At 34.5% G+C, this 13,810-nt stretch overlaps 2 annotated features.

Moving 5' to 3' along the window:
- Positions 4,463-4,632: an enhancer, noted in NCBI's record as "experimental_38044 CRE fragment used in MPRA reporter constructs". NCBI's record gives its function as "activates a minimal promoter by MPRAs in K562 erythroleukemia cells, with activity observed for the introgressed 14:86237661 variant allele {active_cell/tissue: K562}" and the evidence as "EXISTENCE:reporter gene assay evidence [ECO:0000049][PMID:34662402]".
- Positions 8,322-8,491: an enhancer, noted in NCBI's record as "experimental_38047 CRE fragment used in MPRA reporter constructs". NCBI's record gives its function as "activates a minimal promoter by MPRAs in K562 erythroleukemia cells, with activity observed for both the introgressed and non-introgressed 14:86241520 variant alleles {active_cell/tissue: K562}" and the evidence as "EXISTENCE:reporter gene assay evidence [ECO:0000049][PMID:34662402]".

A 13,810-nucleotide genomic window follows, 5' to 3' on the forward strand; every position in this document is an offset into this window, starting at 1 on the left:
TGGAGCAGGAAAAACTTCCCAGCTCACCTGTCACCTCAGGAACCATGACAGTAGTAATCATTGTTTTAAACCATTAATTTTGGAAATGTTTGTTAAGAAGGAACAGATAACTGAATCTCGCATAATTCAACAATGGAAGTGCACTACTTTATATGCTGGAATGGTCATCTGGTTCTTGTGTCTTTTTTTGCCTTTTTTTTTTTTTATTCTTTGAATCTCAGATCAATTGTTACTCCCTCTGAAAGACTCTCCTGCCTCTGCCTCGCCTCTGCCTAGAACAAATTAGATCCTTGATCTTTCTTTTAAGCCCTCCTCCCTCAAATTCAGTTCACTGAGGGTAGGTAATTTTTAAATTGATTAAACATTTATTCATGCAAGAAACATTTACTGTATACCTACAAGTATAAATCATGATGTTCGCTGATGGAAAAATTGTGAAAACATTTTCTTTGCTGTACTTACCCCTCAGACCTAGCACATGCATAGTTGGAGTTTGATACATGTCAATTTTTGCTAACTCCAAACTGTAGAGGTGCTGGCTTTGCTTGCAGCTAACTGGTTTGATCTGAATTGCTACTCCTACTGTTGCAAAGTAGCGATCAGAAATGCTGATAGCAAATATAACAAAGTTCAAATTTTGACTCTGCCAAATATAAGACATGTGACTGAATCAAACTTTCTTTTGCTTTCTTTCAGAATAAAAGTAACTTGCTGAAACCAGAAGGCTTGGGGGTTAAATCCCAGCTCAGTTGCATCTTTGTAGTTTGTCAGTTTCCCATGGGTAAAGTGGGACTAATATCCACCTCCTAGGGTGGTTATGATAATTAAATGAGTTAATACATAAAGTGGCTTAAAACAGAGCCCTATACACAGTAAGCACTGTAGAAGTATTTGTTAAACGAAATTATTTTAAGATGTACTCTTTAGGATAGAACCCGGTATATAATGGGAAGGATGAAAAATACTATTTTTCACGCCATTTTTTTTTTTTGCCCTTTTGAGCCACTTGTCACTTAAAAGGAAATAGCAGATTTATACATTTTTATATTTTTAATTTTAAGTAATGTGTGAGTTGCAAAATAATTTTGTTTCATACTACATGCCAAATGTATGTAAGTGAGCCAAGTGATTTGTTTATCCAAGAGCACACCTGTTAATTCAGGATTAGCTTATGGTAAAGACACTCACATGGGCATTAGCCCAATGATTTTTAATTCTCTCTCTTTCTCTCTCTTTTTTCTTTTTAAATCATCTCATTTATTATTGGTTTGCAAATCTAATACTATTGAATGGCAGTTAAGTGATATTTGATCAAATTCTAAGTCCAACATGATGAAACTCTGTCTCTACTAAAAATACAAAAATTAGCTGGGCATGATGGCAGGCACCTGTAATCCCAGCTACTCGGGAGGCTGAGGTAGGAGAATCGCTTGAACCCAGGAGGCAGAGGTTGCAGTGAGCCAAGATCTCACCACTGCACTCCAGCCTGGGCAACAGAGTGAGACTCTATCTCAAAAACAAACAAACAAACAAATAAACAACAAAAAACCACAAAAACAAAAAACACTTCTAAGTCACATGTATACTTTTTCCTTGAGAATTAGTTCAATTACTTAATATTTACATCACATCTGGAGAGAGGTGGGAGAAAGGGAAGTAAGAAGGGAGATAGAGAAACAGAAATATCCAAGACATAATATGTTTCTTGGAAATCCAGTATTGTTGAAGTTAACTCATTTCAATTTCATACAGATCTGACACTAAGTCACAGACCTTCAATTATATTTAACTTGCTAATTATATTCTTTAACTTTGGTAAATATAGAAGTAGGAACATTTAGTTTTTACAATTACTTATGGGCAGTTAGATATCCTTAGAACTGGTAATTACACTGGCAAATTATACTTATTGTGTAGAGCTACATAAATACGGATATATACATAAATGCATATATTGAATGCATATAATACTGATGTTAAGTGTTTTATTTAAGCCAACCATGCCTCCAGTAAATTTCTGCAGCCCACAGATGGAGAAACATGAAGAATTTTTAAAAACTATATTTATGTCTAATTTCTAGGGAGATATCAAATGGTGATTGCCTAAAAAAAATAAGAAGAGCCAGCTAATTGCAAAGGCATGGAATTAAATAAAGCAACCAGAGGACATTATGTACATCAAATACTAAAAGTAGTATGGATGAATGTAATGGGTGAAGAGTTTGAGGCTGTTCTGTGTGCTTCCCCTCTGCACTTTCATTCTGTTTTGTGGTTTTCTCTAATATAGGACCTCCCATTTCTTATTGCAAAGCTTCATCCTCAGCTTATTTTCTGATCAGACTGTGAGTTTCTCAAGAGATGAATCTCTCTGTGACTACCACTGGGTTTAACTATCTTGTATGGAAATGATTTGTTTATCTGACTGTATGTTCTACTTGCCTGTGGTCTTCTGGGAGGGTGAGAATACCTCTTACCCCTATTGGGCTCCTTATCCCAGGAATCTAGCCCATGTCACAGAATGCCAAGTGGAACTTCTCTTCATGTCTCTGTTTGTCTAAGGAGCCAAAGCTGGAGACAGTAGGTGACAGGAAATCCTGAGTTATGAGGGCTGCTACACACGTTTCTTTAAGATTTAGTAAGAGTTGGGCAAACTGAGTACCAACAGCATTACCGATCTTCAGGATAAGACTAGAAATTAAAAAAAAATATGTGTATACCAAACCTCTGTGACACACAATGTACCTATGTAATAAACCTGCACGTGAACCCTGAAACTAAAATAAAAGTTTGAAAAAAGTGATCCTATAACAAAAAAGAAGAAAATGTAATGGTATTTTCTCTCACATTAAGGTGAAGGAAAGAACCAGCTGTTTCTCCCCTGTCCCTCAGGCTAAATGAAGAGGAAACTGGAAGAACCTCTCATAAGCACTTGAGAGTTTTCTTTCTTTCTTTCTTTTCTTTTTTTTTTCTTTTTATGGCATCTAGCACCTTTGTTCCCACCCAGACTGTTGCTGAGATGTAGGCTGCTGCTGTGCTATTACAGGAGCAGGCAGAGGATGGAAGTGTTCTGACAATCTGATGTGTATATGTGGAGAGAATTGTGCCTTCTTTTTTATCTGGAAATGGCAGAGCGGGGGTGAGTGGGGGCATATCTAGTGGTGTCCTTTATAGCTGGACAAGAGGAAAAAAGATCTGCCATGGGGGAAGCCATTATTTTTATTTCTTAGAGGGAGATGACCTAGTTACTAGTGAACGAGTATTATTCAGAAAGGGAACTGGCCTTTGATTCTCCAGTAGCCCAAAGGGACCTTCGCAGAAAAAAAGCTGTAGATGTATTGTCTGGGGGCAGAAACAGAAAGGGATCACTTGACAGACAGGGTCCATTACTTTGTCAGGAAAAGGTGCAATCCAGTCTTTGGAGGAGGGTTGGAGAAGAAAGTGCCTTGGAAAAACCCCCCATCTGAACTTTAAGATCAAGGGACAGCATTTTGATACCCATCATAGCACCCAGGGCTTTATTCCTTTCCTCTAATCCCACTCCCAACATAGGGGAGCCCTGGCATTAAAAGACAAAGTCACACCAATGGGGGAAGAGCAATGGAAGAACTAGACAGTGCTAAATATTTTACTAAAAAGCATCTAGTTTTAAGTGCACATTTTGATGAGTTTTGACAAGGTACACACCCATGTAATTACCACCCATCCAAAATACAATCATCTCTACAAGTTTCCTTGAGACCTATGTAAGATACTGCCTCACACTCCCCATTACCAGCCCTGAGCAATGACTGATTCACTTTCTGTCACTATAGATTGGTCTTTTTTTCAAATTTCAAACAAATATTACGGAGTGCTTAGTTCATGTTTTTGACATTATATATGTCGTTGCACATATCAGTACTGTGTGCCTTTTGAATTCTGACTGGTATTCTATTGTATGGATATACCACAATTTGTCCCTTCACCTACTGATGGACATTTGGGTTGTTTCCAGTTTTTGGCTATTATGAATAGAGTTGTTATACACAATAAAGTCTTTATGCACTCATAAGTTTTCATTTTTCAAGGTAAATACCTACGAGTGGAATTTATGTATGATCTGGTAAGTATGTTTAGCTTTATAAGAAATTATAAAACTATTTTCCAGGTCACACTATTTTGCATGAGCAGTGTATGTGAGTTTTAGTTTCTCCACATCCTTGCCAAAACTTGATGTAGTGTTTCTAACTTTAGCGAATCTAGTAAGTGAGTAGTGCCATCTCATTGTTGGTTTGATTTGCATTTCCCTGTTGACTACTGATTTTGAGCATTTTTAGTGTGTTTGTTGCCATTAATATATTTTCTTTTGAGAAATGTTCAAAGACTTTTGCATTAGGCTATTTGTCTTCTTATTGAGTTGTAAGAAGTTTTTGTATATACTGGATACAAATACTGAAAACAAAAGTATGATAATACTTTGTGAGGATTATTGCAAATACAAAGAGTTTGTACCCAGTATCTATAAAATATTTGCAATATATTTATTGCAAATACAAAGTATTTATTTGCAATAAACATATTATAAATGTTTTCTCCAAATTTGTGGCTTATCTTTTTCATTTTTAAACCATGTCTTACCAACAGAGAATATTTTCATTTTGTAAAGTCCAAATTATTATTTTTTCTCTTATGTTTCATACTTTTGGAGCCCTGTTTAAGAAATCCATCCCAGAGTTGTAAAAACGTTCACTTATGATTTCTTCCAGAACTTTTCTAGTTTTAGATTTTACAGTTAGATCTATGATCCATTTAAAGTTAATTTTTGTGTATGTCAAGAGATAAATGCTTGACTTTGCTTTTTTTCCAAATTAATATTTGTATTACTTCAACTACATTTGTTGAAAAGGCTATGTTTTCACCATCTGGGTACCTGTGTCAAACATGGATTAACTATGTATAAATGGGTTTAATTCTGAACTATATATAGATACCAAAGTTCTTGATTATTGTTGTATTACATAAGTTTGAAATCAGCTAATGCAAGTCCTTCAATTTTATTTCTTTTATTAGTTTTTATTGATAGGATGGCTAATAGCATGTTGATTAAAAGTAGTAAAGGCAGAAATTAAATAGCGCCCTATCTATGATATTAATTATAGGTGTTCTGTAGATTCCCTTGACAAGTTGAGGAACTTCCTTCTTATTGCTAATTCTTGAGAATGTTTACTATAATTGGTGTTGAGTTTCCTCAAGTGTTTTTTCTGCTCACACTGAGTAATCATAGTGCATTTTCTTTTTTAATCAGTTAATGTGTATTGCATTAATTGATTTTCTACAATGTAAAACAAGCCTTGCATTCCTGGGATAAGTTCCATTTGTGCATGATGGATTATTCTTTTTGTCTATTGCTGAATTAAATTTGCTGATGTTTTGTTAAGAATTTCGTTCAAAAGAGATATTACTTTCTAGTTACCTTTTTTTAAAATTTTATTATTATTATACTTTAAGTTTTAGGGTACATGTGCATAACGTGTAGGTTTGTTACATATGTATACATGTGCCATGTTGGTGTGCTGCACCCATTAACTCGTCATTTAGCATTAGGTATATCTCCTAATGCTCTCCCTCCCCCCGCCCCCCCACCCCACAACAGTCCCTGGTGTGTGATTTTGAAATATATTATGGCTTTAATATCAGGATAATGTTAGCCTTATAAAATGAATTGGAAAGTAATCACTCCTCTACTTTATGAAAGAGTTGGCATAGGAATGATATTTTTTCTTTCTTATTAAGTTTGAATTGATAAGAAAAATTAGGACTAGAGTTTTCTCTGTGGGAAAATTTTTGATTATGAATTCCATTCATTTAGTAGACACAGGAATATTCAGATTATCTTTTTCTTTAGCTTGTTTGGTTAATTTGTATCTTTCAAGGAATTTGCTTATGTAAACTATTTTTTAAATTTATTGGCTTAATGTTACTTGTAATATTCTTTGTTATCCTTTTGACATCTGAAGGATTTCTAGTAATTTTTCCTCTTTCATTCTTGATATTAGCAGGTTGTTTGCTTCCTCTCTCTCAGTCTTTCTAGCTGGAGTTTTCTCATTTTTGATGTTTACATTTGGTTTCAAATATTCCTTTTTCAGTTTTCTATTTCACTGACTTATGCTCTCGTCCTTATCGTTTTCTTTTTCATGCTTACTTTGTGTTTAATTTACTCTTTTTTTTTTTTTTAGCTCCTTAAGGTGGAAGCTTAGATAATGGGTTTTAATTGTTTTTTTCTTTTCTAACATAAATTTTAAATATATGATTTTTCCTCTCAACACAGCTTTAGTTGCACCCCATACCTTTGATATGTTGTAATTTTTGTTTTATTTAATTCAAAATATTTTCTCATTTTGTTTGCAATTTTTTCTTTTACCTATGTGTTATTTAGAAACATATTGTCTAATTCTTCTTTTGTCTAATTTCCAAATAGCTTCCTGTTGCCATTCTAGGACTGTTAATAGTTTAATTTTATGGTTAGAGAATTTTATATCATTGTAATACTTTTGTATTTATTTATTAAGACTTGTTTAATGGGCCAACATATGACTTATCTTGGTAATGTTGCCTGCGTGCCCATAAACAATGTGCAGTCTGCTTGTGTTCTGTAAATGTCAATTAAGTCATGTTGGTTGATAGTTTTTAAATCTTTAGTATACCTACTTATTTTCTAACTATAATTTACCAACTCTTGAGAGAGGAGTGTTGAAATTCCCATTTATAATTTTAATTTAGTCTATTTTGTTTCCATTCTATCCATTTCTTAATGTATTTTGAAGCTCTAATTTAAGATGCATACTAATTTAGCATTGTTATGTCTTCTTTATGAATTAATATTCTTATCATTATAAAACTTCTATCTTTATCTCAGATAATATACCTTCTTCTGAACCTTAGTCTGATTATAAGACCTCCAGCTCTCTTATGCTTTGAGAACATAAGAGAAATCTGTGATTATTCTCAACCTTTCATTTCTATATATAATTATTTATTTTTCCTGGTTGCCTTTATGATTTTTTTTCTTTGTCATTTGTTTGTAATAATCTGATTTTGATATGTCTTGAAGAGTGTATATCTGTGTCTGTATTTATCCTGTTTTGGGTTCTTTGAACTCTTTGACCTGTGGGTATGTGAGTGTACGTATATGTGTGAGTGTATGTGTATGTGTGCATGTGTGTGTGGTGTGTTTTACAATCAAATTTGGAAAATATTCATTATGTCTTCAGATATGTTGGGGTATTTTTCTGTTTGTTTTTTGTTGTTGCTGCCGTCACTGTTTTTTGCCATTCTTTTCTTGTGTCTTATACTTCGGAACGCCAAATACACATACTTTAGGGTATTTGTTATTTTACCACCAGTATTTTAAGCTCTGTTCATTTTCTTTCAGTCTTTTTATTTGGCACTTTGCTACATTACAAATAGTTTCTGCTGCTATGTCTCAATATCACTAAAATCTTCTTCTGTACTGTCTAATATGTAATTAATGTCATTCAGTAAAATTTTAATTCCAGAAACATTACTTTTTATATCTAGAAGTTCTATCTGGGTGCTTTTTTTGTATTTTTTATTTACAACATAACTTTAATATGTTCATGTTTTCCTTTGAATATTTGAACATAGTTATAACATCCTCATTGGCTAATTATGTTATCTGTCTCACTTCTTGGTCTGCTTCAATTGACTGAAATTCCTTCTGCTCGCGAGTCACACTACCTTCTCTTGAGATGTCTACTAATTTTTGATTGCTTGTTAAACATTTTGGCATTATCTTGTTAAGTGTCTGGATTTTGTTTTTTTCTTTAAGGAGCATTGATGTTTGTCTTAGCAGACAGTCGTGTTACTGGAAGATCAGTTTGATCTCTTCTGTCCTGTTTTGAAACTTTGCTAGGGCATGGCCAGAGTAATTTTTATTCCAGAGATAGACTCCTCTAGTTTCTCTACCCTGGCTTGTTGGAACTCACATTTTCTCTTCCTTATGTGAGTTTAGGGAATTGCTCCTTCTTTGCTTGTCTTTTGAAATTTTTCTTTTCACATCTGTGATCACTTTGTGAGGTGCCAAATTTTCCATGTGAGCAACACTCCCTAGAATTCCCTTTTTAATATGTTGCAGGTTAGAATGGGCTACAGGGGAGACATCAACCATTTTGTAGCTATACACACCTTCTCCAGAATTATCAATTAAACACTAATCTGGATGTTGTTTTAAAGGAATTTTGCATATGGAATTAAAATCAAAATCTGTTAACTTTGAGGTAATGAAAACAAAGTTATCCTGAAGGGGTCTGAGTCATATAGAAGTCCTTAAAAGAGGGTCCTAGGCTTTCCCTGATACAGAATACAAGCAGCACAGAGGCCTGAAATTGCTCCCCACTTTTTCCCCCTATATCTATCCTTTCTACTTGCCTGCCTGTGAACTCAAGCACCAGTTCAAACTCAAAGTTCCAGCCTGATCATGATCTTCACTTCCTAACTCTGTCCACCTTGCTTCAGCTCACTTTACCACACTGCACCCCCACTCCACCAAACTGCATAAGGAAATTCCTTATAATAATTACATCTAATATATATATAATATATATAATTATATATAATATAATATATATAATTATATATAATATAATATATATAATATGTATTACATCATATATATGATGTACATCATATATATATATGTGATGTACATATATATATATATGTCTACTTCCCTCAGACAGAGCCATCTGAAATCACATGCCCATACCTTGTGGTCAAAGTAGTGACTTATGCTGACTGACTTAGGCCTGGATTAAATGCCCATCATATATATATATGATGTAATACATATTACCAGTATATATATATATACTGGTGTGTATGTATGTGTGTGTATGTGTGTGTGTGTATATATATATATATATATACACACACACACACATATATATATACACACATATATATATACACACACACACACATATATATATATACACACACACATATATATATATATATATATACACACACACATATATATATATATACCAGTAGAATGGATATATACATCCATTATGTTGATTTTGTTTCTCTGGTTGATCCCTGATTGACATAATATCCATGGTTTAATACTTAGCAAATACTTAAAGGGATCTCTATGCAAATTTCTCGAGCTCATTTCCTATGTTGTTCCAGTTTTTATGAAACTCTGCCACAAAAACTTTCCATGCCTTAGCCTCCTCCTCAAACTCTTACTCCAGTCTCCTGAACTCAGCAAGACTACAGGGTCCTGTTTGACTTCCACTTCTCTAATAATAATTGCCTCCATAGAAGAACACCAGGAATACTGTAGGGTTTACTTCATTTATTTCCCTTTTCTGAAATATCACGTCTTGCATAGACTTTTATCCAAAGTCTGAAAAATTTTACTTTTACATTTTGCTTAGTTTTATTGTCGTTTATGGTGGGAGGGGAAGCTCTTTATAATTACTCCAACATGGCTGAAACTGGAAATCTTTTATGCAGACTTTTTAATACCTGAAAGTTAGACTATCCTTAGAGCTGAAATGTACTACAATCTGACCCACTGTAACCCCATATCCGAGAATGGGAATACTTCAGACTGCACTAGAAGGCACTGGTGAGGAAAATGAAAATACTGATTGTGCCTTTCCAAGTTTATCCAATTCAGTTACTCAGTTGTGTATCTCACCTGGCACATGATAGACTCTCAAATACTTTTATTGGCCTGTAAGGAGTTTTGCTTCTAGTTCCTATCTAGCACATCACCTGACCCATGATTAATTTAAACCAGCAGAATATAGTGGTTAAGAACTTTTTAAAGGGATAAATAAAATAATGTTTAAATTCTAGTTCTTCATTTACTAATTATATGATTTAAGCGGAAATTTAATTTTTAGTAGCTTCATTTTGTTCATCTGAAACAGGGATGGTTATAGTTCCAACCTCCCTTAGTTGCTGTGAAATTAAATAAAAAATGTTTGCCAAGTTCTTGGCACTGTTACGGACACATTGTAAGTACTTGACCTATTTCAATATCTTTAGTTTATTAATTAAAGAAAATTTCATAAACATTTGAATAAAGTTAACACATTGGGAAAAAACTTTTCTCCATGTTTGATGGTGAAATAAAGTTGCAAGTCATTTAGAGGTAGAAACATCCAGGTTTGGATGAGACCTTGTAAGTCACCTAGGTGAACCCCTCGTCAGATGCTTGCAAATCAATTCAGCAGATAATTTGACTCAAACTAATTTAAGCAGTATAGAAAATTTATAAAATCACATAAATGAGATGTCCAGAGACAGAGGAGGCCTCCAGTGGTTTAATAATCTCCATGTCTCAGGGGTCCTCTATAATCCACCCTTCCTCCTCAGGTTGGTTTTATCCTCAGGTGATTCTTGAGATGATTCACTCAAGTAGCCAAATTGTTGCAGTCATTCCTGGGCTCACGATCTAAAATATGAGAGCATGTTGTTGCATCAGATATGGAACAATACCCTCTACTTCCCTCAGACAGAGCCATCTGAAATCACATGCCCATACCTTGTGGTCAAAGTAGTGACTTATGCTGACTGACTTAGGCCTAGATTAAATGCCCATTGCTAAATCAACCAATGGCACAATAAGGATGGCAGTGCTGTCCTTATTTATTTGTGTTCTTCAGGTTCTACCATTATGCTGAGGCTGGAGTTAGTCCCATTGTTGAGGCTGGAGTTAGTCAACGTTGCTGCAGTTCAATGGAGAAAAATACAATGTCTGCAGTTCAATGGAGAAAAGTGCAATGTTTTCTAAAAAGATCATGGGTAATATCTACATTCTTTGTGAATTTTCAGAGTGTGTTTAAATTTTCTCTATCATGGGTGACTTACCACTACCCATTCAAGTGACACATTTTCACCACTGACACATTTTGATCTCTGTACCTCAGCTGTTGTGTTTGAGGGGAAGCTAGAGAAAATGATGTCTGTCACTCTGAAATAACCAAGAAAGACGGAGGGACACTTATTTAGTGCTCTTACATATTAGGCATAGTTCTAAGGGTTTTTTATTATGTAATCATTTAATCTTCACAAGTTTATGAGCTATGCTTATGAAGCAGTACCATTCTTATTTTACAAATGTGTTAATTGGGACACAATGGTTAAACCACTTTTGCCAAGTAAGGGCTGTTATGCGCATCCGTATAAGACCACCTGAGCAGGCTTAGTGCGAGCAACAAGACTGTTTATTCACTTGGGTGCAAGTGGGCTGAGTCTGAGAAAGGAGTCAGCGAAGGGTGGTGGGATTGTCATTGGTTCTTACAGGTTTGGGATAGGCGGTGGAGTTAGGAGCAATTTTTTGCCGGCAGGGGATGGATGTTACAAAGTACATTCTCATTCTCATGGGTGTGGAGGATGTTACAAAGTACATTCACAAGGGCGGGGAGGATGTATTGTCACAAGGACTGGTGGGGGAATGTTACAAAGTACATTCAAAAGGGCAGGGAGAGTGTATTGTCACAAGGGTATTTTGTCACAAGGACAGGTGGGTGGATGTTACAAAGTACATTCACAAGGGAAGGGAGGGTGTATTGTCACAAGGGCTGGGAGGATGTCACAAAGTACATTCACAAGGGTGGGGAGGGTGTTACAAAGTACATTCACAAGGAATATCACAAAATACATATCACAAGGGCAGGGGAATGTCACCATGGCTTGACCATGGTGTGGCCAGCTCAGAGGACCTTACAAGGGTCACAAAGAAATTGGCAGAGCTAGGATTTGAATCTATCTGGTCTGGCTCCCAAATTCATGTTCTTGACCATAATACAATATCACTTTGTGATTAATTGGTTCCAGATCTCTAGTCTAGAGAGAGATGTAAAGGATTATAATAACTCTTCAATTTATTGGGAAATGTTATCTTTATCTATCATCTATCTATCTATCTATCTATCTATCTATCTATCTATATCTTTCTATCTAATCTATCTACCTACCATCTCTCTATTTATCACTGACCTACCTATATATGTACTTAATCTACTTATTTTTCTAGCAACAGTAGGGATACACTACACTTAGAGGGAAATATAATAACCACTTCCAAAAGTTCCAATCTTTTATTTTTAGCGTGATGAATGTAAACTCCATTTATTTATTTATTCCATCATTCACAAAGAATTTACTATCTGTTCATTCAACCTTAGGCACTAGACTCTTTCCTTGAAATATAGAGATACAAGGTAGGCTTCTTGCTCTTGAAGAGGTCATAGCCCTGCCCTCTAGGCCAGTGTCTTTGAAATTGTGGATCATGACTCATAATTAAAAAACAAAAATGAATATTCAGAGTGCTTTAAATGTAATATGTGTAAGCATTACCAGTTGTTTATGTTTTAATAAAAGTGTCTCTGTGTGTGAATGTTCTATGTGTGTTTGGTTATGTTATAAATGATGTTTTTTAACACAGGCATGACCCAAAATATTTGAGAGTGACTGAATTAGAACCTAGTCATCCAATTCTTTAGACCTTTCTCAAACCCTTTACTTACTAAATTGTATTATAGAGACTTGAAGAAAAGGACTGTATCTTATATTTCTACTTTATCCCTTCTGGCATACATTCTAGTAATTTAATTGGTGACTGCTTGACACAACTGATTATCTTTCTGATCAATGTAGGCATGTTTTATTTTGAATTATTAGTGTCCATTATTGTTTGATATCTATTTCCCCTGGATTTATTTTAAAAGTCATTTGAACAACATGTTTGACTTTGTGGTAAGAAAAACAACTTGTTGCTTGATCAAAATTTTGAGTTTTTCACCAATTCCTTTTCATTTTAGAGACAAAGTCCAAGCTTTGCTTATGAGCAGCCCTCACATGGCAATAATTCTTTTTCTTTAACCTTATTAATGTACATTTGTTTTGTCAATGTTGAGGTAAAATGAGTTAGTATTAGTGTTATTAAACCATAAACTAGGCAATAGCTTTACCATCGGACTTTAGGCCTTGTGGTTGCAGCATTTTATGAATTTATACTGCATGCTGTCAACATGTAAAAGAACCAGCTGGAAAATGCTACATTAACTCAAGACCACAAGGCTTTGGACATTCGGATAACTCAACATTAGGGACTCTGGGATGGAAATTTTATGCACGTGTAGAACAATTTCATTAGTGTCTCATGCTTCCTACCATCTCTCTCTCTTTACCTCTCAAACTTGTGCAGACATGTAAAGACGTGGAATTGTTTCTACGATTTTGTTTAAAGTAAAATCATCCTCTGGCATCTAACCTCTATGGAAAATATGGAAAGAAGTAACCACAGCCAACATTTTTTTCTCTGTGGGCTTAAGAAAAGGGAATGGTATAACTTTTATTAAGTTCAGGACTTTTCCACAAAGAATGCCTATGTAGGTAACACTCATACATTCATTCTTAACTTAATTTCTTTCTCTTCAAAATATAATGACGGCCATCTGGAAAAACAGTTCTTTAAAGCAGTTATTCATGTTTCAGAACATGCCTTAATTCATGTCAGTGTAGTGTGAAATGTAATAAACTTTTATCCATCTATCTATCTATTGATCGATCAATTGATTGATCGGTCTATCTGTCTCTCTGTCCATCCATCCATCCATCTAACAAATTTATTTATTTATTCATTCATTGTTTTAAATACAGGTAAAGGAAGAAGAAAATCTCAAGGAGCTTAAAAGAGAATAATACTACTCTTATATGCTTATTTAAATTTTTCACAATGTTTTCAAAGTAGCCACTTATATAAGCATTTATCCTCAGTAATATTTCA

Source organism: Homo sapiens, chromosome 14 (genome assembly GCF_000001405.40).
Source record: "Homo sapiens chromosome 14, GRCh38.p14 Primary Assembly".
Taxonomy (NCBI): domain Eukaryota; kingdom Metazoa; phylum Chordata; class Mammalia; order Primates; family Hominidae; genus Homo; species Homo sapiens.